General features: G+C 36.0%; 1 non-coding gene and 1 pseudogene across 1 annotated transcript; one reads left to right on the top strand and one right to left on the bottom strand.

Moving 5' to 3' along the window:
• Positions 1,269-2,186, top strand: SFR1P2 (SFR1 pseudogene 2; annotated as a pseudogene).
• A 13,384-nt stretch (positions 2,187-15,570) lies between these two features.
• On the bottom strand, positions 15,571-15,649 carry MIR1321 (microRNA 1321). Its single transcript, NR_031710.1, has one exon. It is a non-coding gene; the product is annotated as a microRNA 1321 (primary transcript).
• Positions 15,650-27,181: the final 11,532 nt, after the last annotated feature.

Raw genomic sequence — 27,181 nt, 5'->3', positions numbered from 1 at the left:
CACCCTAAATTGTAGAAACATCGGTCCATACTATACACCTGTCTGCCTGTGGACACACTGGATTTCTTGGGTTCTACCAGGCTTTATTACATGTCCCCTATCGCTCACTGTCGAAGTCAGGCTGTTTACAACGTATGGTCATCAGCTACTGCTCTTTGGAGGACACTTATCCTGTTTTCTTGTTTTCCTTTCATCATTTTTTTCTAACTTAAACTACTCAGATGTTTAAAACGTATGTTCTTTTTGGATGAAATCACTGTCCACAAGTGGCCAACATGAAACATGCTGATCAATGGTCTCTCTTATTATTCATGCATGTCTATATGTGTATGTCTGTGAATGCATTTGTGTACTATGCAAATTTACATTTATACTGATTAGGAAGTGTCATAAAAGGTTCAGGTCCAAAGCTCCATACAGAAGGGACAGTAAAACACCAGCACCATTTATTGAGGAAGGTATCCTTTTCCCTATGTATATTCTTGTCACCTTTGTCAAAAAATCAGTTGGCTGTAAATATGTGGTTTTATTTCTGGGTTTCCTGTTCTTTTCCATTAGTCTATGTGTCTTTTTATATCAATGACATGATGTTTTGGTTTCTATAGCTTGATACAGTATATTTTGAAGTTAGGTAGTATGATGCCTCCAGCTTTGTTCTTTTGTTCAGGATTGCTTTGCCTATTGAGGGTCTTTTGTGTTTCCATATGGATTTGAGGATTGTTATTTCTATTTCTGTAAAGAATGTCACCTCTGATCATCAGGCGTCAGTTAGATTTGCATTTTGATAAGTATTGCACTCAATCTGCTTTGGGCAGTCTTCTTACTTTAATGATGTTAATTCTTCTGATCTGTGAGCCTGGGATGTCTTTTCATTAGTTTGCATCCTCTTCACTTTGTGTCATTAGAATTTTTTAGTTTTCCTTGGAGAGGGCTTTCAAATCCTTAGTTAAGTTTATTCCCAGGTACCTTTTTGTAGCTATTTCAAATGGGATTGCTTTTTTTCAAAATTTTGGTAGGTACATAGTAGGTGTATATATTTATGGGGAATATGAGGTGTTTTGATACGGGCATGCAATGCATAATAATTGCATAATAGAGAATGGGGTATCCTTCTCCTCAGGCATTTATCCTTTGTGTTACAAACAATCCAATTATACTCCTTGAGTTATTTTTAAATGTACAATTAAATTATTATTGACTATAGCTCTCTCGCATGGCCCCACCTTGGGCACAGGATAGATTTATGGCTGCAACTGCATGTGCTTTCTGCTCATGCTGGGGAGAGCAGAGAGGTAAACCAAGATTTCATTTTCAAGATGGAAAGTCAGTCAGACTCAGCTGTGGTTTTGCCTAGTACTCCACAGGCCTTTGTGAATCCATCATCTCCCCGTACAACTAGTTCATGAAAACAACCTATGAGTGCAACACTTAAAGAAAGATTAAGGAAAACAAGATCTTCATTTAATTCCTGTTACAATGTGATAAAACGTCTTAAAGTAGAGAATGAAGAAAACAATCAGAACTTTTCAGAGAAACCAGCGTATTCCACAGAGGAAAACTGTTTGGAATTTCAAGAAAATTTTAAACACATAGACAAGTGAATTTGAAGAAATCACATATTTGAAAAATACCTTCAAGAATATCAATGTGAGTGAATCTCAGTCACTTGATTCTGTGTCATTCAGTGCTCTCCAAAATGAGTTTGTGAATTAGAATCTTCCTAAACAAGAATTAAACGAAGAAAAAGCAAAATTGGTGAAGCAGGTTCAGGAGAAAGAAGACTTTCTTTTGGAGGCGAAATCTTGTCCAAATGTATATAGATCAAAGAATGTTGATCGTCTCAGTTACAGTTGTTAATAAAGAAGTAGAGAAGCTGTAGCCAGCCGTTGCTTTATGAGTTGTAGTCAGCTATGTCTGCAGAGAACAAGAAAGTAAACCTACTCAATTGATAGACCACTATGGATTAGATAATAAATTGCTACACTGTAACAGAAGTGAAGAAGAATTTATAGGTGTTTAATTCCTAATCATTTCTCCAGAATATCTTTGAGAATGACAACTTAATTAAAAGATACTTGTACATTTTAAATGGAAGATAGAAACCATTAGGGCTTAGAGGAAGGTATCCTGATGAACATCAATTTAGGACACTCTACTATATTAATATAAATTAAGTTGTAGAATGAAAATGTAGTATTTGGATAGATTTGCCGAAGAAAATTTGACATTTAATGTAATATGAAAAAAATTCAAATCATGTTGAAAAAATCATTTGGGCAATTCTCTAAACCAGTTTTAATACATTGCTTTGTGTTTTTTGTGGCAAAATGATTTATTTTAAATGCCCAAAATTGTCCAATCTGGTGAATGTCTAAATTTCAAGTGGTCTAAAAATGCCCGCCTCTCTCCTAAGTTTATAAACCTTTTTTCCATCCATTTACTACTACATATTTCCATCTGATGACCTAGCAGGTAATTAAACTCATATGTCCAAATTTTTTTAAAAAATAAAAATAAATTATTATTGACTCTAGTCACCCTGTTGTGCTATCAAATACTAGGTCTTATTCATTCTATTTTTTGTCCCCACCTCCTTCCCACACCCCCATTACTCTTCCCAGCCTCTGGTAACCATCTTTCTACTCTCTATGTCCATGAGTTCAATTGTTTACATTTTTAGATTTCATAAATAAGTGAGAACATATGACATTTGTCTTTCTGTGCCTGGCTAATTTCAGTTAACATAATGACCTTCAGTTCCATCCATGTTGCTGCAAATGACAGGATTTCATTATTTTTATGGCTGAATAATATTCCATTGTGTACCACATTTTCTTTATCCATTTATCTGCTGATGGACACTTAGGTTGATTCCATATCATGGCTATTGTGAATAATGCTAAAATAAACATGGGAGTACAGATATCTCTTCAATATACTGATTACCATGTTTTTGGATATATACCCAGCAATGGGATTGCTGGATCATATGGTAGCTCTATTTTTATTGTTTTGAGGAACCTCCAAATTGTTCTCCATCGTGGTTGTACTAATTTACATTCCCACCAACAGTATACGAGTGTTTCCTTTACTCCACCTCCTTGCCATCATTTGTTTGTTTGTTTGTGTGTTTTGTTTTATTATACTTTAAGTTCTGGGATACATGTGCAGAACATGCAGGTTTGTTACATAGGTATACATGTGTCATGGTGGTTTGCTGCACCCATCAACCCGTCATCTACATTAGGTATTTTTCTTAATGCTATCCCTCCCTTAGCTTCCCCATGACAGGCCCCAGTGTGTGATGTTCCCCTCCCTGTGTCCATGCGTTCTCATTGTTCAACTGCCACTTATGAGTGAGAACATGCGATGTTGGGTTTTCTGTTCCTGTGTCAGTTTGCTGAGAGTGATGGTTTCCAGCTTCATCCATGTCCCTGCAAAGAACATGAACTCATCCTTTTTTATGGCTGCATAGTATTCCATAGTATTCCATAGTATTCCATGGTATATATGTGCCATATTTTCTTTATCCAGTCTATCATTGATGGGCATTTGAGTTGGTTGCAAGTCTTTGCTATTGTGAATAGTGCTGCAATAAACATACATGTGCATGTGTCTTTATAGTAGAATGATTTATATTCCTTTGGGTATATACCCAGTAATGGGATGGCTGGATCAATTGGTATTTCTGGTTCTAGATCCTTGAGGAATTGCCACACTGTCTTCCACAATGGTTGAACTAATTTACACTCCCACCAACAGTATAAAAGTGTTCCTATTTCTCCACATCCTCTCCAGCATCTATTGTTTCCTGACTTTTTAATGACCGCCATTCTAACTGGTGTGAGATGGTATCTCATTGTGGTTTTGATTTGCATTTCTCTAATGACCAGTGATGATGAGCTTTTTTTCATATGTTTGTTGGCCACATAAATGTCTTCTTTTGAGAAGTGTCTGTTCATATCCTTCGCCCACTTTCTGATGGGGTTGTTTTTTTCTTGTAAATTGGTTTAAGTTCCTTATAGATTCCAGATATAAGCCCTTTGTCAGATGGATGGATTGCAAAATTTTTCTCCCTTTCTCTAGGTTGTCTATTCACCCTGATGATAGTTTCTTTTGCTGTGCAGAAGCTCTTTAGTTTAATTAGATCCCATTGTCAATTTTGGCTTTTGTTTCCATTGCTTTTGGTGTTTTAGTCATGAAATATTTGTTCATGCCTATGTCCTGAATGGTATTGCCTAGGTTTTCTTTTAGGATTTTTATGGTTTTAGGTCTTACATTTAAGTCTTTAATCCATCTTGAGTTAATTTTTGTATAAGATGTAAGGAAGGGGTCCAGTTTCAGTTTTTTGTGTATGGCTAGTCAGGGGCTTATAGATAAAACTCCCATCTCCCTGGGACAGAGCACTTGGGGGAAGCGGCAACTGTGCGCACAGCTTCAGCAGACTTAAATATTCCTGCCCGCTGGCTCTGAAGAGAGCAGTGAATCTCCCAGCACAGCGCTGGAGCTCTGCTAAGGGACAGACTGCCTCCTCAAGTGGGTCCCTGACCCCTGTGCCTCCTGACTGGGAGACACCTCCTGGCAGCGGTCAACAGATATACAGGAGAGCTCCAGCTGGCATCTGGTGGGTGCCTTTCTGGGACGAAGCTTCCAGAGGAAGGAACAGATAGCAATCTTTGCTGTTCTGCAGGTTCTGCTGGTGATATTGAGCATTTGTTATTGCCTGTCTTTGGTATTGCTTTTTCAGTTAGTTTCTTATTGTTGTGTAGAAATGCTGTTGGTTTTTGTATGTTTATTCTGTATCTGAAATTTTACTCAGTTTCTTTCTCTATCCTAAGAGCTTTTTGTGGAACCTTCAGGTTTTGCTATATATACGATTATGTCATCCACAGAGAGGGACAGTGTGACTTCCTTTTTTTCCTATTTGGATACCTTTCATTTCTTTCTATTTCCTGATTGCTCTGGCCAGGACTTCTAGTAGTATGTTGAATAGGACTGGTGAAAGTGGGTATCCTTGTCTTGCTCCCGTTTTTAGAGGAAAGGCTTTCAGGTTTTCCCCATTCAGTATGTTGTTAGCTGTGGTTTTGTCATAAATGGCCTTTATGCTGTTGAGGTATGATCCTTCAGTGTGTAGCTTGTTGTGAGTTTTTACCATGGAGGGATGCTGAATTTTGTCAAATGCTTTTTGTGCATCGGAGTATATAATCACATTGTTTTGTTCTTCATTCTGTTGATTATTACATCAACATTTATTGGTTTCCATATCTTGAAACATCCTTGCATCCTGGGGATAAATCCCACTTGATCATAGCGTATTATCTATTTGATGTGCTGTTAGATTCAGTTTGTTAGTATTTTGTGGAGAATGTTGTGTCCATCTTCATCGGGAATATTGGCCTATAATTTCTTTTTTGTTACATTATTTTCTGGTTTTGGTATAGGGTATTTCTGGTCTTGTAGAATGAGTTAGGAAGAATTCCCACCTTTTAAGTTTTTTGGAATAGTTCAAGAATAAATGGTGTGAGTTCTTCTTTGTAATTTTGGTAGAATTCAGCAGTAAAGCCAGTCCTGGGCTTTTCTTTATTGCGAGACTTTTAATTACTTATTCAATCTCATTATTCATTATTGTTCTATTCAGGTTTGCTATTTATTCTGCATTCAATCTTGGTAGGTTGTAAGTATCCAGGAATTTGTTCATTTCCTCGAGGTTTTCCAGTTTATTAACATATAGTTAGTTGTTCATAATAGTCTCTAATGAGCTTTTGTATTTCTGTGGTATCAGTTATAATGTCTCATTTTTAATTTCTGATTTTATTTGTTTGGGTCCTCTCTCCTTTTTTTAGTTAGTCTAGCTAGCAGTTTAGCAATTTTGTTTATCTTTCAAAAAACCAACTTTTTGTCTTGTTGGTCCCATATATATATATATATATATATATATACACACACACATATATATATATATATACACATATGTATATATATACACACACATACATACATACACATATATATACACACACACACAGTATATATGTATTTTTTGTAATACATATACATTTGTATATATGTAAAATATATATGTATTTTTTTTCTTCTGAATTTTGCCTAGTTCTCCTCTGTTCTTTGTTTTGTTTTTCCATCTGCTAGTTTTAGGTTTAATTTATTATTGCTTTTCTAGTTCCTTGACACACATTGCTAAGTTGTTTATTTGAAATCTTTCTACTTTTTTGATATGGTGTTTATTGCTATAAACTTCCTTCTTAGCATTGCTTTTGCTGTATTCCATAGGTTTTGATATGCTTGTATATTGTTTCTTCTTTCCCTCCCTCCCTCCCTCCCTTCTTTCCTTCCTTCCTTCCTTCCTACCTTCCTTCCTTCCTTCCTTCCTCCAGAGGTGCTAGGACTACAGGCATGTGTCACCATACCTGTCTATTTTTTATATTTTTTGTAGAGACAAGGTCTCACTATGTTGCCTAGTATGGTCTCAAACTCCTGGCCTCAAGTGAGATTCCTGTCTCAGCCTCCCAAAGTGCTGGGATTGCAGGCATGAGCCACTGCACCTAGCCTCCATTTTCATTTATTTCAAGACATTTTTGATTTCCTTCTCTATTTCTTCCTTGACACAATGGTTATTCAAGAACATGTTGTTTAATTTCCATGTATTTGTAGTGTTTCCTCTTGTTATTGATTTCTACTTTTATGTAATCGTGGCCTGAGGAGATACATAATATTTTTTTTTGAGGGAGAGAGAAAGAGAAGGGAGTCTTGCTTTGTTGCTCAGGCTGGAGAGCAGTGGTGTGAGTGTGGTTCACTGCAGCCTCAACCTGCTGGGCTCAAGCAATCTTCCTACCTCAGCCTCCTAAGTAGCTGGGACTACAGGTGCATGCTGCCACAACTGATTTATTTATTAATTTTTGTGTAGCAACAGGGTCTTGCTTTGTTGCCCAGGCTCTTCTCAAACTCCTGGCTTCAAGCAATCCTCAAGCAATCACACCTCCGTCTCCCAAAGTGCTGGAATTATAGGCATAAGCCACCGCACCTGACCAGGATATGATTTTAATTTTTAAAAATGTGTTGAGGCTTGTTTTGTGTCCTAATGTATGGTCTATCTTGGAGAATGTTCCATGTGTTAATGAGAAGAACGTGTATCTTGCAGTTATTGAATGAAATGTTCCTTAAATATTTGTTAGGTCCATTTTAGTCTAAAGTACAATTGTTTCCTTGTTAATTTTGTCTATAGATGACCTGTCCAATCCTGAGTGTGTGGTGTTGAAGTCCCCAACTATTATTGTATTTGCATCAATCTCTCCCTTTATATCTAAAAATGTTTGCTATATATATCTGGGTTATCTGAGTTTTGGTGCAAACATATTTAGAATTCTTATGTTCTTTTCATGAATTGATCCCTTTATCATTATATAGTGACCTTCTTTATCTCTATTTACTATTTTTGACTTGAAGTTTCTTTTATATGATAGAAGTATAGCTATTCCTGCTTACCTTTGTTTCTGTTTGCATGGAATATCTTTTTCCATCCCTTTACTTTCAGTGTATGCATGTCTTTACAGGGAACTTAGTTTCTTGTAGGTAGCATATAACTGGGTCATACTTTTAAAAATCCATTTTAACATGTCTATATCTTTTAGGGGAATTTAATTTGTTTACATTCATGGTTATTATTGATAGGTGAGGACTTATTTCTGTCATTTTGCTAATTATTTTCTGATTGTTTTGTACAACCTATAAGAAACATGAAAAAGCAAGGAACTGTGACAGCTCCAAAGAACTTAATAATTTTCTAGCAATAGATTCCAATGAAAAATCCATAAAATTCCTGAAAAGAATGTAAAATAATGATATTACAGAAGCTCAATAATATGCAAAATAACACAAATAATGCAAAGAAATCAGAAAAAAAAGATTTATAATCTCAATGAGAAATTCATCAAAGGATATCAACTGTCCTTATGTTGATATCTGCATGTCTCATGTAACAGTCACCTCTTTTATTTTATGGATTGGATTTTGTAGGTAAATACTGTTTCTTATGGATGTATCTATAGTGTTGGTTGGGTAAGGCACTTTTGCTTTGATTCTGGGTGCATGCTTTTGTGTAGTCTCTGTGTGATTTCTTTGGCTGTAATCAGCATAAGTGGTGTCTGAGTCCTTCCTTCCTTCCCTCCTTCCTTCCTTCCTTCCTTCCTTCCTTCCTTCCTTCCTTCCTTCCTTCGTTTCTTCCTTCCTTCCATCCATTTATCATTATGGCTTTGTGGTTTTCTGTAATGGTAATATTTGAGTTGTTTCTCTTTCTCATTTGTGTATCTCCTTTATACTTTTGTGTGTGTTTTTGTGATAATAGGTATTGTCCTTTTGCTTCCAGATGTAGGACTCCCTTAAGTATTTCTTGGATGGCTGGTCTAGTGTTGATGAATTCCCTCAGTTTTTGCCTGTGGAGGAAAGAGTTTATATCTCCATTTATGAAGACGAACTTTGCTTGTTATATTACCCTTGACTGGCCTCTTTTTTTTTTCTTTTCAGCACTTTTGAGTACCTCATCCCATCCTCTCCTTTCCTATAAGGTTTCTGTTGAGAAATCCATTCTTACACTGATGGAGATTCACTCATATGTGACTTGACACTTTTCTCTTACTGTTTTTAGAATTCTCTCTGTCTTTGACTTTTGACAGTTTGGCTATAATATGCCTTGGAAAAGACCATTCTAGGTTGAATCTCTTTGGGGATCTTTGAGCTTCCTGTGACTAGATGTCTGTATCTCTTGCAAGACTTCAAAGTTTTCAGCTATTATTTCATTAAATAGATTTTTGTGCCTTTGCCCATGTCTTCTTCTGGAACACCCACAATTTCTTTTTTTTTTCTTTATTATTATTATTATTATTATTATACTTTAAGTTTTAGGGTACATGTGCACAATGTGCAGGTTAGTTACATATGTATACATGTGCCATGCTGGTGCGCTGCACCCACTAACTCGTCATCTAGCATTAGGTATATCTCCCAATGCTATCCCTCCCCCCTCCCCCCACCCCACAACAGTCCCCAGAGTGTGATGTTCCCCTTCCTGTGTCCATGTGTTCTCATTGTTCAATTCCCACCTATGAGTGAGAATATGCGGTGTTTGGTTTTTGTTGTTGCGATAGTTTACTGAGAATGATGATTTCCAATTTCATCCATGTCCCTACAAAGGACATGAACTCATCATTTTTTATGGCTGCATAGTATTTCAATATTTGGTTGCTTTATGTTGTTCCATATGCCACATAGGCTTTCTTTATTCTTTTTTAAAATTATTTTTCCTCTTTTTTGCCTGATTGGGTTATTTCAAAAGACCTGCCTTCAAGTTTAAAAATTCCTTCTTTTGCTTGATCTAGTCTATTGTTGAAACTCAGTTATATGTTTTATTTCATTTCACCCATTGAATTCCTCAGCTCCAAGACTTCTGTTTGATTCTTTTTTATGATAGTTATCTGTGTTGAATTTCTCATTTAGATTATAAATCTTTTTTTTCTGATTTCTTTGTATTGTTTATCTGTGTTCTTTTGCATCTCACTGAGCTTCTCTAATATCATTTTGCATTTTTTCAGGCATTTTATGGATTTCTTTTTCAGTGGAATCTATTGCGGGAGAATTATGTTCTTTGGAGGTGTCATAGTTCCTTGTTTTTTCATGTTTCTTGTGTTCTTATGTTGATATTTGCATGTCTGATGTAGCAGTCACTTATTTTATGGATAGGATTTTGTAGGTAAAGACTGTTTCTTATAAATTTATCTATAGTTCTGGTTGGATTGGGTGATTTTCCATTGATTCTGGGTGCACGCTTTTCTGTAGTCTCTGTATGATTTATTTGACTGCAATCAGCATAAATGGTGTCTGTGAGTTCTTCAGTGGCTTAGGCTGAAGTTGTTAGTGGAGGATGTGGTAGGGCCTTACTGGAGACAGGGATGTCAGATGGGCTGATCCTTGGGCCCTAGTGGTGGCAGCAGTGGGCCAAACATGCCAGTCATTGGGCCCCCATGAAAGTGTGTGTGAGATCTGGTGGTAGTGGGTCAAGGCAGGTTGATCCTTGGGCCTCCAGGTATCTTGTTCATGTTCCAGCAGTGGAGTGGTAACAGTAAGTCAAGTGTGTCTTTGGGTCCCTGGATGGTGTGTAGCAATTGACAATGGTGGCAGTAGCTGTGGCAGGCCAGCTCTTGGCCCTTCATGTGGTATGCACAGACATCAGCAGTGGCAGCTGCAAACTGGGTGGGCCAATCCCCAGGTTACCAGGTGGTTTATGCAAGTAGGTGCTGGCAGTGGTGGTGGTAGCAGGACAGGTGGGCACATCCTCAGACCTCCAGGAAGAGTTTCTGGATACCACTGGCAGCAGGTGAGGCAATCCAATCCCCAGAACCCCCAAAGACATATATGGGCACTAGAGGAGGTGGTGCCAGGGAGAGCTAGCCTGTCCTCAGGCTCCTGATGGTGCACACGGATGCAGGCTGTGGCAGGTGTGGCTGGTTGATCTCCAGGCTCTCAGCTGGTGTGCATAGGCACCAGCAGGCTGGAATGGCTTGTCCTCAGGTTTCTGAAACATGTGGGTGGACACTGATGGCATTGAGCTAGTGGGTTGATCCCCAGGCCCCTTGTCCACATGCGTGGGCACTCATGGGTGTGATGCTGGGCTGTTAGCTGTAACTCTTAGCAAATCATTTCAATCTTTCTAGTTATCAGTTTCCTTGCCTGTTAAACAAGAATAATGATAGTACCTACTTCATAGGATGTTTGTAAGAGTCAATATGTCAAAATCCATGTGAAGCACTCAGCAAAGCACCTGACATGTAGAATAGAACTCAAGAAAAGATAGCATTACTGTTTGCATGATTAAGGACAGAGCCAGGATTAGGAGCCAGGTTTTCTAATTACCAGGCCACTCTTCTCTCCACCATGACTGTAACAGCAGATGTGCTGGAGAATTTTTAGTGAACTTGAACCGAGATGTTTAGTATAATCAGACTAGAGTCCTTCTCATTACTTGGTGTTAGTGGTTTTAGATACTTAAACCTGCAAGTTGAAAAGTGACATCTATAAGAGTACATTCAAAGAGGCAATGAAGTCTAAATATTCAGGTTTAATCCCAAGAGAAATGGCCCATCTCTTATCCCCAAGTGACACTTTATCAAACAAACTTTCCAAATACCTGAAATTTGGTCATGAGACACAGGAAATTTAGGAGGTGTGTGAAATTCAAGCTTTTATTGTGAGAAAAGCATCTGTTATGGATTCCATCACTATATTTATTAACAGGCTTTTTGCCCATATTCTAATAGTGATTAGTGCTATACAGGCTGAAATGGAAATACTATAAATCTCTGTGGCAAATGGGACTTGTCTTGAAAAAAAAAAAGATCCAAGCAGTTGCAGTGGCTACCAGCATGGGAGGTCTAATCAAAGGAAGCTTGTGTCAGAGCTACTTGACTGGTAATTCTCTTTGTGGTTTAAAAAAATTACTTGGATGTATAACAAAAATGTGCTGTGTATATGAATAGAGTTTTGTAAAAAGAGTCATTAACTTGCTTCTCTCTTCATGTTGCGGTCCAGATCCAAATAACATTTTCCAGGTATTCTCTAGAAGGGCCTCAACCTGTGCATGGAAGGTCCTCTGAAAATTTTCTCAGTTCCATTACAGTGATAGGCACTCTTTCCTTATTTCTCCTTCATCTGAATGATTAATGTTGATGTTACGTACACAAATGATAATGCTTTTATAGCAGTAACAATAATACCTTTAAAAAGCATTGAAAGAATTCAGATTTATGTATATGTATGGTATTTGGGAAAGTGCCTGGAATATAGTATGCACTATAAGTTATTGTTAAATAAATAAAATAGGCAATTAATGTCATGAAAAAAATCCACAGTGTATGGTTAAACAAAAAAGCAAGTTATGAAAGTAGCATGTATGTGGGATCCCACGTTGTGTAAAAGAGAGCTAGAGATATCTACGTGCATATATGTATGTGTGTGTACACAGAAGGGTAACAATAGTTAGCTTTGAATTGAGGGAATTTGTGAACAGTCTTTTTTCTTTCTACTTTTGAATTTTCTACATTTTTTGAAATATTCCTTTACCACCATTTATAATATAACTTCTTCCCAGATGTAAAACTGATGTTTGGTGTGTTCTTTCAGATATTTTTCTCCACTTATGCATGTGTATACAAACACACACACACACACACACACACACACACACACTGAGTATAAGGGTATAGGGTCTTTTTAAATGTTTTCTAAAAACATAAGTTGGCTCACATCATAGTTCTGTAATTGGCTTATTTCAACAACTATATCTTAGACATCATAAAATATAGCACATAAAAATGTTCGTCCCTCTTATTTATTGCTGCGTACCATTCCATGGTATGAAATCTATTTATCCAACAATTATTAATGAATATTTGGTTGTTTTCAGTTTTATTGTTCTTTTAAGTAATGATTCAACAAACATCTCATACTTATATCTCTGTTCACATGCATATCTCTGGTAGATAGAGTCTTAGTGGTTGAATTACTGGTTTAAAGGGTATGTACACTTTACATTTTGATAGACTGCCAAATGGTACTTTAAAAAAGCTGATTTCCACTCACTGATACTAGATATTATTACTTTTTAAATGTCTGCCAATCTAATGAGCTAAAAAATATGGTATCATATTGTTATACTATGCATTTCCCTCCTTATACATCGAAACATATGTTCAATGCCAATTTTCAGTTACCTCTTCTATGATTTCTCAGTTTATGCCCTTGCCACTATTATAACTTGCAAAAATTCTTTTTATATTTTCATATTAATACTTCATTACACATATTGCAAATCTTTTTTTCATTCTAGATTTTAACTTTTATGGTGTGATTCATTACCTAGAAATTTTAAATTTTGATATAGACAATTCACTTAATATTTTCTTTTATGGCTCTGGACTTTGCATCTTGTTTAGAAGAGTCTTTCTCAATTCATTAGTAGGAAAATATGTCCCACATGTTGCTAAAACACCTGTGATGGTTAATATTGAGTGTCAACTTGATTAGATTGAAGGATGCAGAGTATTATTTCTGGGTTTGTCTGTGAGAGTGTTGCCAAAGGAGAATAACATTTGAGTCAGTGGACTGGGAGAGGCAGACCCACCCTCAATCTGGGTGGGCACCATCTAATCAGCTGCCAGCATGGCTAGAATAAAGCAGGCAGAAGAAAGTGGAATGAGGAGACTTGCTGAGTCTTCTGGCCTTCATCTTTCTCCTGTGCTGGATGCTTCCTGCCCTCGAACATCAGACTCCAAGTTCTTCAGCTTTTGGGCTCTTGGACTTACACCAGTGATTTGTGGCTCTCAGGCCTTTGGCCACAGACCAAAGGCTGCACTATCGGCTTCCCTACTTTTGAGGTTTTGGGACTCCGACTGACTTCCTTGCTCCTCAACTTGCAGATGGCCTATTGTGGAACTGCACCTTGTGATCGTGTGAATCAATTTTCCTAATAAACTCCCCTTCATATACATATGCATATATGCTAATAGTTCTGTTGCTTTATAGAACCCTAATACAATACCTTTAAAAAAAAAAAAAAGAAAACTTTTAGCTCTTTAACTGACCTGAAATTTATTTGGGGGATTTATGTGAGATAGAAATCTAACATAAAATTTCATATATGAATATCCAATTTTCCTCATGCCATTTTTTGAGATCATCTTTTTCACACTAATCTGAAATATTACCATTATCAATTATTAAATTCTTATACATGAAATCTGTTTCTGGACTATATTCAATGTTATTGCTATTTTGTCAATTCCTATACTAAGATGATGTTATTTTAATTACTGTAACTTTCGAACACGTATTGATACCTGGTAGAGTCAGCCTTTCTGCCTCATTTTTTTTTTTGTCTTAGTTATGCTTGGCCCTTTGCTCTTTCATATACATTTCGGAATCATTTTGTCAAGTTCCACACACATACACACGCAAATCCTTGTTGCAAGTTTGATTGGAATTGCATTCAATATTACTTCACTTTCCCATCCATGAATGGGAGGGTATATCACTCATTTTATTTAATTTTTTACTATGTTTTCTAAATAATATTATACCTTTTGGCAGACACTGATAGTGTCCACCAAATATCCATGTTCAGATCCGCATTTCCCACTCTACTTTGAAGATAAGTTCAGGTAGCTGGGCAGTTAAGAGCCAGTTTGCCTCTTGCATTCCTTTTTCTCCTTTCTATAACTAACTAGTAGTCCAGATGGCATTGCCACAGTTTGGAAGCTTCCAGGAATCTTGAGTCAGCTCTTAAAGGGAAGCTGTGCCAGAGAGCCACCTGACTCACATTAACTGTAACTGGAGCAAGAAATAAATTGGTGTTGTGTTACAACATGGCTATTTCAGGGATTATGTGTTACCACAGCATAGCGAACATTACCTGACTAATTAAAAAGTCTTGACCATCTTTTATGTATTCCAAGGCATCATATACTGTTTCTTAAACTTTTCTTTTATAATAATTTGCTGTTGATGTATAGGAAAAAAATTAACGTTATATGTTGATCTTGTAGCTAATAACCTTGCTAAACTCTCTTACTAATAATATATCTATAATTCTTTTTAGTTTTCTATGTTGATAATTATATAATCTGTGATCAATGACAGTTTTATTTTTCCTTTTCAATCCTATACATTTTAACTCTTTATCTTGTCTTACTGAACTGCCAAGGACCTCCAATACAATGCTAAACAGAAGTGGTGATACTAGACATACTTCTAATTTTCCTGGCTGTGAAAAAGGTAAGGTTAAAACAGTTCACCGTTAGTGTATGTTTATTGTAGGTTTTATTAAGTTAAGGGAGCTGACTTCTATTTCTAGTTTGCTAAGGAGCTTTTATCATGAATGGGTCTAGAATTTTGACCAAAGCCTTTTCCGCATCTATTTATTGACTGCCTACTATGGGCTAAGCACTGATCATGTTTTTCACTCCTTTCATCTATTAATGTAATAAACCATATTAATAGTTTTTAAATGTTAAATCATCCTTAAATTTCTCCTGGTGACATAGATGCTCCCACCTCTGGGTTCATTGTAAGCCTGTGTGTGTTGCCAGTGCATAGCATAGCTGCTGGCATAATATAGGCAAAATGTTTTACTCATGTTCCTTATTATTTTACTTAATAAATGATATATTTTATTACTGTATTTGTAATATTTCCAGTAGCAGAATACTATAAAACACATATCTTAAATAAATTTGAGTTAGAATAAGGCAGACATGCTCAACCAATCCCAAGAATCATATTGTATATTGTTCCACAAGAAGAGCTAAGAAAAAAATATTTAGTGATTAGAAAAATTATATCACTATCTCAGGTGGTTTTCTTAATTTCTTCATTATACGGTTTTAAGTGGGATTTTAGATTTCATTAATATAAACTCATAGGGAGCAATAAATAGTGGGAAGAAGAGAGATTTGAAGTCAGACAGACTTAGGCTTGAATCCTGTCTCTTTAACTTTCTTAACTATATATCTATCTTTGATCACATTCACCTCCCTGAGTTTATTTCCTTATTTGTAAAACAGGGATAATAATACTTGCTTCATAATGTTGCTATATTTGCATTAAGTAATCAAAAAATAATATAAAATATCTAGCATATTGTGGACCTTAAATAAATGTTAGTTCAAAAATGAGTATGAATAAATGAATATACATTTTTTCCTCAGAAAAATTTAATATGTCGAGAATTCTAAAAATAAAAAATCTATGAATGAGGTGTGCCCAGCTTTACACATCTCTGAATAAATTGGGGTTCTTTGTTTTGACTGTTTATCGGTGGTTGATAATTGTTCCCATTTAGAAATATATTATTAATGTCACAATGCAACAATTTGTGAAATTTATGTTATTAGTCTATATATTCTTACCTTTGGAACTACTGTTAATCCCAAATAGGTATCACGGCTCTATTTTTAAACATTTATATAACAAAACTATCAGTAAATATTATTCAGGGTTTAATTACGTTACTCTACTTTTTTCCTCCAAATAAATAGTTATTCTAATCCACTATATGTTCAGACATTCTCTCTCTCTCTCTCTCTCTCTCTCTTCCCTCCCCCTCTTCTTCTCTCTTGTTCATTTTTGAAGTAATAGAATTATCATTTTGGGGGAGAAACTTGATGTTCTCAAATGTGTTTGGAATAATAATGTTCTAATAAATAAATTTGAGTTTCCCAAACTTTTACATGAGAGTAAAGCACTAGAACCAAGGTCTCTATAGAGAAGAAGAAGCAAAAAGGGGAGAGTGTAGAGAAAGGATGAAAAAAGAAAAGGAGGAGAAGAGGGAGGAGGAGGAGCAAGGTTTCAATTAAGTAACTCAAGTGTAATGTGTGCCCCTCTCAGTTTCCTGTCTGCTGCCAAATCTAGGGAGTTGCTAAACTTCAGTGGTCTACCCCTGAAAATTTTTATTATTAGAGCCATCATTTTCAGTGAGTGGAATGAGGTTAGAAGCTATGTGGTCTCTATATTACTTGGAAAATATATCATTTGGCACTCCTCAATGACATTAGACTGTACATTTCTAGATTGATCTGCACAGTTCTTGTCAATTGGTAGGGATTCAATCTATGTTGAGTTAAACCAACTGAGATAAACTGCATTAAACCCTTTAATTTTACATAACACACCCACCACAGAAAAAATTTAATGGTAGTCCTTATCCCCAAATAATTTTCAAAACAAAGCAATAACAAAAACAGTCACTGAAGGGTAACTTATTGAAGGTATGAGAAGTTTTCATTGAAAATGCTCCCAAGTGACAGGCTTACAGTTCATAAATAAAGATGACAATGCAATGGCCCAGTATTTTAAAATCTTAAACACTTTTTTAGTGAAGGCCTGTGAGGTCATGTGAGCTAATATGACAGACACTGAATATTTACTACTCAAAAGCCATTCAGAATCCACTTCTCCCTTGCCTTCATCTACTATGGACGCTGTCTCACATGCAGATAAGAGTGATTATGTGACATGAAAGTAGCCAATACTGAGTATTCTTTGCCCCCAGTTGCAATTTCCTTTGGTGATATGAAAAATGTTTCTAGGTTCATTGTAATATATTAGCACAAAGTTCTTGTCTTGTTTGTTCCTGGAAAAAGTCTTTACAGTCCGTAAGTGCTGTTTTCCAAATTGTTCCCTGTAAGCAAATCAAAGAAAGCCAATCAAAATGACAATGTACATACTTTAATGTTAAATACAAAAAATCAGAATAAAAAATTATTAGTATATATCTCCTGATTTTGTTCACATACACATGAGCAAAGAAAAAATACTTGATGGAAATGAGGCTTATAGGAAACATATTAAAGTAGTAAACTCAAGGTAGGATTTGAAGTGATTTTTATTTTGTTAATTAGAAAATTTTTAATTGAAAAATAATTATATATATTTACGGAGTACAATGTGATGTTTTGATATATGCACACATTATGCAATGTTGAAATCAAGCTGATTCCTATATTTGTCACCTCATCTTAACTTTTTTTTTTGTGGTGTGTATTAGTCCATTCTCATGTTGCTGCAAAGATACTATGCAAGACCGGGTAATTATAAAGGAAAGAGGTTTAATTGACTCACAGTTTAGCATGGCTGGGGAGGCCTCAGGAAACTCACAGTTGTGGTGAAAGGGGAAGCAAACACGTCCTTCTTCACAGGGCTGCAGGAAGGAGAATGAAATGAGTGCCCAGTGAACAGGGAATCCCCTTATAAAACCATCGGATCTCGTGAGAACTAAGTCATTATCAGGAGAACAGGATGAGGGAAACCGCCCCCATGATTCAATTATCTCTGTGGGGACACAGTCAAACCATATCATGGTGCCAGCATTTAAAATCTATTCTCTTAGCAATTTTGAAATATTCATTATGTTATTAATAACGGTTGTCGCCATTCTGTGCATTAGATCTCAAGAACTTAGTCCTCCTATCTAACTGAAACTTTGTACCCTCTCACCAACATGTCTCCATTCCCCTCTCACCCACCTCCTGAGGCCCTGGCAACCACCATTCTACTCTTTTACTTCTATGAGTTTGACTTCTTTAGATTCCACATATAAGTGGAATCATGCAATATATGTCTTTCTGTGCCTGGCTCATTTCACTTAGCATAATGTCCTCCAGGTTCATACATGTTGTTGAAAATGACAAAATTTCCTCTGTTTTAAGGCCAAATAGTATTCCATTGTACATATATACCACATTATCTTTATCCACTCATCCATTGACAGATACATTTTGCTAATACTTTTTACATTTAACATATATCAAAAATAAGTCTTATTAATTTTATCATTGTAAAAACATACATTTTAATCTTTCCTATAATGAGTTAATGCTTTTAATTTAGATTTTATGTGTATTTTAATGTGAAGGGTTATGTGTTTAAGTCTCTTGGAACTATTGTGTATTAATATACAATAGGACACCATGTGTGAAAGTTTTTTGAAATCCCTATATGATTATTCATTGGGTAAGTAACAGGCCTACACCAGAACCAGTGTTTCAAAAGTCATATTTTCCCAAGATAATTTTAAGTGCCATGGCTAACCTACAAATCCAGAAATCAGCCCACTCTACAAACAAGGAATTAGAAGGGTGACAATTATACATAATGTTAGATCTCTTCATCTCTGTTCTTCTTCCCTATGCCCTCTTCTCAATCTACACACTCTCCCGGGGTAATTGCATCTTCTCCCATGGCTTCAGGTATCCTCTCTTTGCTCAGGACTCATATTTTACTGTCTATGGAACATCTCCACTTAAATGTCCCTGGGGAACACTCACACTTAACTCATCCAAAATAGAAAGCAACATCTCACAGCTTCCTACTCTCAGATTTTCTCTTCCTTCAGTTACTCCTTATTTTTTAATAAATGACACCCACCTGAAGCCAACCTATTGACCAGAACCAGAATCCTAGGAATCATCCTGTCATTCTTTGTATCTTTCCCTACCCTGTATCAATTTTTGGTAACAAATCCTTGTGATTTCTACTTCTGAAATTTTTCTTGAATATGTCTCCCTATTTCCATCCCAACTCTCTGGTCCAAGACATTATCATCACTCAGCTTGACCCCTAGAATAGCTTGCTAACTGGTCTGCTTTGCTTGCCTCCACTTTTGGTTCCCTATAATCCTTTTAACACAGTACAATCAGAACAATCTTTCTTAAAAAGATATGTAAATATAATCACATCATTTCTCTACTAAAAATATTTTAATGTCTTTTCAATCACTACTCCACCTAGGGTACCCCACTACCGTACCCTAGGTACCCTACCCCACTGCAGCCTATGCTCCAGTTATTTAGAATTATTTGCAGTTCATTGAAGATGCCATGCTCTGTCTTGCCTCTGTGTGTTTGCACATGCTATTCTTACTTTCTTGAATGCCCTTCTCTGCCTGGATATCTCTTACATAGACACTCACAAGTTAGCCAGGCACGGTGACTCATGCCTGTAATCCTAATGCTTTGAGAGGCTAAGGCAGGAGGATTGTGTGAGGCCAGTAGTTTGAGTTCAGCCTGAGCAACACAGTGAGGCCCTATCTCTACAAAAAATTAAAATTAAAAAATTAGCTGAGCATGATGGAATGTGCCTGTAGTCCTAGCTACTCAGGAGGCTGAGGTGGGGAGATTGCTATAGCCCAGGAGTTTGAGGTTATAGTGAGCTATGATTGCACCACTGCACTCCAGCCTGGGCAACAGAGTAAACCTTGTCTCAAAAATGAACAAGCAAACAAACAAAACCAAAACAACAACAACAACAACAACAAAAACAAAACCTCTCAACCATCACCTCTCCCAAAAGCCTTCCTTGTTACCCCCAGTCCAGGTTAAGTGCCAAATTAGGGTACATTCTCCATACCTTCATTACATTGCTTAACATTGGCACTGACTAGTTTTACAGGTTACTCTAATAGACTGGTGAGCTATTTGAGAGCAGAAACTGTGTCTCGGTCATCTCAGAGTTTCAGAGTTTTGTTCTTTTGAGTCTTTGGTTATGCATGTTTTACAATAATATATCTGCTCTTCTCAGCAAAGCTTCAGTTTCAGGTTTTTTCAATATCTTGCATTCTACAATTTTCCTTCCATGGCAACACAAAATCAGCTAAAAACTACCATTCTCTGAAAAATGTTGCTCAGAACTCAGAATACAGAAGTTTGTCTCCTTTCTTGGAATGAGAAAGAGAAAATGTCTACAAGCTATGAGAACAAACCCAAATTCATATGTCAATAAATGACTTTGTGATAGAATAGAGATGCCACTTAAGGAAAATAAACTGCTACTATGAGAAAAGCCTTGAGAGGTTCTCAGTTTTGACTTCTTTATTATCCTAAAGCAGGTCAAAATTCTCTATTATTTTCTCTAAAGCACAAAACACATTTGGTAGTAATTAAATTGTGCATTCAGAATTCAGTTCAAAATTAAGTAATTATAATAAAATAAAAATTATTTTGTTAAATTAAAATGGTTTGAATAGAAATGAAGTTTATTTATGCTATACGGGGCCTGGATTTGAAACATCTAGCATAACGGTTTTTGATTAAGAAATCTTAGAATTATAGGACTAATAAAAATATTCTTTTTTCAGATAAGGAATCGTTTCAGGATTGGTGTGGTGGCAAAAAAAATATTACATGCATTTACAATTTGGAAAATTACACGATTCTAACTCATACATTTTGTCAGCTAGGAAATTTCTACTTATTCTGCTTTCTGTTTCTGCTGTATTGTTAAGACTGAAAGGCTTTAAGAAGAAGACAGCTGCTTAAAATTGAACATCAAAAGTGCTTCCAAATTGCACTTGGAGCTTTCAGCATGGACCCAAGTTAATGGGTCAAGGGCAGGATGTTACAAATGCTGCTCTCATTCTGCTTTAACATGCTCAGAGGTAGATACAAGATACCTGTTAAAATGGGAGTTTTGTTTTCTGGACCATCTCAATCTGAGAGCAGGAAAGGGGTCAGGAGAAATATCGAACAATTGAATAAATGAGATCAATAGGAAAAGCACAACAAGCAAAAGAAACTTCTTAGAATGGCAAGTGTGTGTGTGTTTAAAAAACAGGCTTAACTTTTATTAATTAGATTTTATCATTTACTAAGACTAATTAATAATTAGCTAATAGCCAACACCCACATAGCACATACTCTGGAACAGGCATTGTTTTAGATGCTTTATGTACATTAGTTCAGCCAGGAATGCAGACACTATTAATCCTCATTTTTATAGATGAGGAAACTGAGTCACAGAGAGGTTAAATGAATTGCCCAATATCACATATTCAGTGGCAAAGCCAAGGTGTAAACCCAAGCAATCTGATTCCAAAGCTAGGGCAATTAAAACACGTAGGGTTTTGGTTATTTGGATCTTGTAAAAGCAATAAATAAATCTGAATGCATAGTAGCGACATTCCCTGACCCCTTTCCCCTACTAACTTTGCATTGTCTCTTTCATTTGATGGTAGTTTAGGGGGTTAAACTAAAAAAGAGAGAGCAGTATCCAAATGTTTGATTCTGATGCAAATCTCTCACTTATTTAAAGTACAACATACTGGACAATTGTAGTAGCTCAATTTCTGTAGAATTTTTTACCCAACAACTTTAGAGTAGAAATGCCGTGATAGGCCGTCTATAACCTCACCATGGCAGAGTTTTCTTATTTGACCTCCATTAAGAGAAAGTAACATATTTCATATTTAGAATCTTCCGGTCTAATAATGTAGTCTGCTGAGAAATAGTTTTATAGGCATAGTTTTCACTAGCAGAGAGAAGTGCAGAGTTTACTACACCATCAGATAAATGAATGCCTGGTCTAATATTTCAACAAAATTAAATGAATCTCATCTTAAGCAGGCCACCTTGCCCAGGAAAACTGGGCCCTGACAGGAAAGCTGGATCAATCAGGCCCAAGTTGTTTGCTAAGGAGACTGGATTATATCCAAGATGTGAAAGACAGATTATATTCTTCCTCACCTAATGCAAGAGATATGGCCCTGTTCAATTCTTAAAAGACACTAGGCAGTGAGCAAAAAATAAAACTTGAGCTAAGTGGCACTGCTCAAGCTTAATTGGTGGTGTCAAAACAATTGTATAAAGATCATGTTTTTCAAATGGCTCTAAATTTTAATCAGATATAATGTGACAATAAAATGTAGCCATTGCTGTCAGTGTATCCTTGAAAGTGTATTGTCTCAGTATGCAACTTAAATTATTTATTCTGCCTGATTTAATTATATAGCCTGATTGACAACACTAAGTGCAAACAGTCCATTCTAATGCCTTTTGACTGCAATACCTGCGTGCAGGTTCATAAGCGCTGCCAGAACAGTGATAAATGGCTAAATAATCTTCTTCTGACATGTATAGCAGCACAGTGTGAAGTGTTGTTTAGCAGAGAAAATAGGGAGTGTTAATGATAAGCCAAGAATATGTGCTGGAAAAAAATGCTAACGACAGGTGCAAACAATTTTCTGTGTGGAAAATCAAATATATTGTAATAATACGTGATGGAACAGCAGATGTTTCCCAGAACAAGTACGACTTCCATCACTAATATTTATTTTTTTGAGTCACTTTTATTGACCCACAAAACATTGCTTTGTTTGGAGTTTAATCAAAACAGAAGCAATCAAAGTATAACACAAAATGACATTTTATTAAAATATATTTTACTTCTGCACATGATTTGCTAGCAGAGTAAATGTTAATGTCATTATATTCTTGCTTGATAAGGCTGTGAACTTTTCTTTTATGACCAGGTGCTGAAAAAGGTCATATTTACAAACTAACATTTTTCCAACTCTAAAATACATATTTTAAGTTTTTCAAAAAATATTCATTTTATGCATATTTCAAATGAATTGGCATTCTTTTTATGTTTTATAATTTTTTTCCTTCTAACTTTTAGGTTCAGAAATACATGTGCAGGTTTGTTATATAGGCAAATTGCATGTCACGGGGGTTTGGTTTACAGATTATGTCACCACCCTGGTAATAAGCACAGTACCTGATAGGTAGATATTTGATCCTCACCCTTCTTTCGCACTTCACCCTCAAGTAGGCCCCAGTGACTGTTGTTCCATTCTTTGTGTCTATGTGTACTCAGTGTTTAGGCTTTAAGTGAAAACATGTAGTATTTGATTTTCTGTTCCTGTGTTAGTTTGCTTAGAATAATGGCCTTCTCCTGCATCCATGTTGTTGCCAAGGGCATGATTTCGTCCTTTCTATGGCTGCATAATATTCCAGGATATATATGTACTGCATTTTCTTTATCCAGTCTACCACTGATGGGCATTTAGGTTGATTCCATGTCTTCGGTATTGTGATTAGTGCTGTAAAGAAAGTATGTGTGCATATGTCTTTACGACAGAGTGATTTATGTTCCTTTGATTATATACCCAGTAATGGGATTGCTGGGTTAAATGGTAGTTTTGTTATTAGGTATTTGAGGAATTGCCACGCTGTTTTCCACAACTGCTGAACTAACTTATACTCCCACCAGCAGTGTATAAAAGTCTTCCTTTTTCTCCACAGCCTCGCCAGCCCCTGTTATTTTTTGACTTTTAAATAATAGACATTCTGATGGATGTGAAATGGTATTACATTGTGGTTTTGATTTGCATTTCTCTAATGATCAGTGATATTGTTTTTGATATACTTGTTGTCCAATGTATGTCTTCTTTTGAAAAGTGTCTGTCCATGTCCTTTGTGCATTTTTAATGGGGTTGTCTTTTTTAATTTTTTATATTTTCATTGGTTATTGGGGAACAGATGGTGTTTGGTTACATGAGTAAGTTCTTTAGTGGTGATTTGTGAGATTTTTGTGCACCCGTCACCCGAGCAGTATATACGCTGGACTCAATTTATAGTCTTCTATTCCTTAACCCCTTCCCATCCTTTCCCCCTGAGTCCCCGAAGTCCACTGTGTCATTGTTATACCTTTGCATCCTCATAGCTTAGCTCTCACTTATGAGTTAGAACATGCGATGTTTGGTTTTCCATTCCTGAGTTACTTCACTTAGAATACTAGTCTCCAATCTCACCCAGGTTGCTGTGAATGCCATTAATTTATTCCTTTTTATGGCTGAGCGGTATTCCATCATATATATCGCAGTTTCTGTATACACTCGTTAATTGATGGGCATTTGTATTGGTTCCACATTTTTGCAATTGTGAATTGTGCTGCTATGGACACGTGTGCAAGTATCTTTTTTGTGTAATGACTTATTTTTCTCTGGGTAGATACCCGGTAGTAGGATTGCTGGATCAAATGGTAGTTCTACTTTTAGTTCTTTAAAGAATCTCCACACTGTTTTCCATAGTGGCTGTACTAGTTTACACTCCCACCAACAGTGTAGAAGTGTTCCCTAATCACTGTGTCCATGCCCACATCTATTATTTTTTGATTTTTTTGACTATGGCCATTCTTATAGGAGTAAGGTGGTATTGCATGGTGGTTTTGATTTGCATTTCCCTGGTCATTAGTGATGTTGAGCATTTTTTCATATGCTTGTTGGCCATTTGTGTATTTTCTTTTGAGAATTGTCTATTCATATCCTTAGCCCACTGTTTGATAGGATTGTTTGTTTTTTTTCTTGCTAATTTATTTGAGTTAGTTGTAGGTTGTGGATATTAGTTTTTTTGTCAGATGTATAGATTGTGAAGATTTTCCCTCACTCTGTGGGCTGTCTGTTTACTCTGCTGACTGTTGCTTTTGCCACGCGAAAGCTTTTTAGTTTAATCAAGTCCCAGCTATTTATCTTTGTTTTTATTGCATTTGCTTTTGGGTTCTTGGTCATGAAATCCTTGCCTAAGCCAATGTCTAGAGGGTTTTTCTGATGTTATCTTCTAGGGTTTTTATAGGTCCTGGTCTTAGATTTAAGTCCTTGATCCATCTTGAGTTGATTTTTGTATAAGGTGAGAGATGAGGATCCAGTTTTTTTCTCCTAAATGTGGCTAGCCAATTTTTCCCAGCACCATTTGTTGAATAGAGTGTCTTTTCCCCACTTTATGTTTTTGTTTGCTTTGTCAAAAATCAGTTGGCTGTAAGTATATGGGTTTATGTCTAGGTTCTTTATTCTGTTCCATTGGTCTATGTGCCTATTTTTATATCAGTACCATGCTGTTTTTGTGACTATGGCCTTATAGTATAGTTTGAAATCAGGTGATGTGATACCTCCAGATTTGTTCTTTTTACTTAGTCTTGCTTTGGCTATGTGGGCTCTTATTTGGTTCCATATGATTTTTAGGATTGGTTTTTCTAGTTCTGTGAAGAATGATGGTGATATTTTGATGACAATTGCATTGAATTTGTAGATTGCTTTTGGCAGTATGATCATTTTCACAATATTGATTCTACTGATCCATGAGCACGGAATGTGTTTCCATTTGTTTGTGTCATTGGTGATTTCTTTTAGCAGTGTTTTGTAGTTTTCCTTGTAGAGGTCTTTCATCTCCTTGGCTAAGTATATTTCTAAGTTTTGTTTTGTTTTGTTTTGTTTTGTTTTTTTTTTGCAGCTATTGTAAAAGAGGTTGAGTTCTCAATTTGATTCTCCGCTTGGTCACTGTTGGTGTATAGCAGAGCTACTGATTTGTGTACATTAATTTTGTATCTGGAAACTTCGCCAAATTATTTTATCAGTTCTAGGAGCTTTTTGGAAGAGTCTTTAGGGTTTTCTAGGTATACAATCATATCATCAGCAAACAGCAAAAGTTTGACTTCTTCTTTACCAATTTGGATGCCCTTTATTTCTTTCTCTTGTCTGATTGCTCTGGCTAGGATTTCTGGTACTATGTTAAAGAGAAGTGGTGAGAGTGGGCATCTTTGTGTTGTTGCAGTTCTCAGAGGGAATGCTTCAACTCTTCCCCATTCAATATTATGTTGGCTGTGGGTTTGTCATAGATGATTTTATTACATTGAGTTATGTCCCTTGTATTCTGATTTTGCTGAGAGTTTTAATCATAAAGGGATGTTGGATTCTGCTGAATGTTTTTTCTGCATCTATTGAGATGATCATGTGATTTTTGTTTTAAATTCTGTTTATGTGGTGTATCACATTTATTGACTTGCGTATGTTAAACCATCCCTGCATCCCTGATATGAAACCCACTTGATCATGGTGGATTATCTTTTTGATATGTTGTTGGATTCAATTGGCTAGTATTTTGTTAAGGATTTTTACATCTATGTTCATCAGGGATATTGGTCTGTAGTTCTCCTTTTTGACTATGTCTTTTCTTGGTTTTGGTATTAAGGTAACACTGGCTTCATAGAATAATTTAGGGAGGATTCTCTCTTTCTCTATCTTGTGGAATAGTGTCAGTAGGATTGGAACCAATTTTCTTTGAATGTCTGGTAGAATTCAGCTGTGAATCCAGCTGGTCCTAGAATTTTTTTTTTTTGGTAATTTTTTTATTACTATTTCAATCTTGCTGCTTATTATTGGTCTGTTCAGGGTATCTAATTCTTTCTGATTTAAGCTGGGAAGGTTGTAAATCTTTCCACGAATTTATTCAGCTCCTCTAGGTTTTCCAGTTTATGTGCATAAAGGTGTTCATAGTAGCCTTGAATGTTCTTTTGTAGCTCAGTGGTGTCAGTTGTATTATTTCCTGTTTCATTTCTTAATGAGGTTATTTGGATTTTCTCTCTTCTTTTCTTGGTTAATCTTGCTAATAATGTTCTATCAACTTTATTTATCCTTTCCAAGAACCAGCTTTTTGTTTCATTTATTTTTTGCATTGTTGTTTTTTGTTTGTTTCAATTTCATTTAGTTCTGCTCTGATCTTGGTTATTTCCTTTCTTCTGCCAGGGTTGGGTTTGGTTTGTTCTTGTTTCTCTAGTTCCTTGAGGTGTGACCTTATATAGTTTGTGCTCTTTCAGACTGTTTGATGTAGTCATTTAGGGCTATGAACTTTCCTGTTAGCACTGCTTTTGCTATATTCCAGAGGTTTTGATAGGTTGTGTCACTATTGCCATTCAGTTCAAATAATTTTTTTAATTTTCATCTTCATTTCATTGTTGACCCAATAATCATTCAGGAGCAGGTTATTTATTTTCCATGTACTTGTGTGGTTTTGAA

This window comes from Homo sapiens, chromosome X (genome assembly GCF_000001405.40).
Source record: "Homo sapiens chromosome X, GRCh38.p14 Primary Assembly".
Classification (NCBI taxonomy): Eukaryota; Metazoa; Chordata; class Mammalia; order Primates; family Hominidae; genus Homo; species Homo sapiens.
This window is presented reverse-complemented; position numbering and strand designations above follow the sequence as displayed.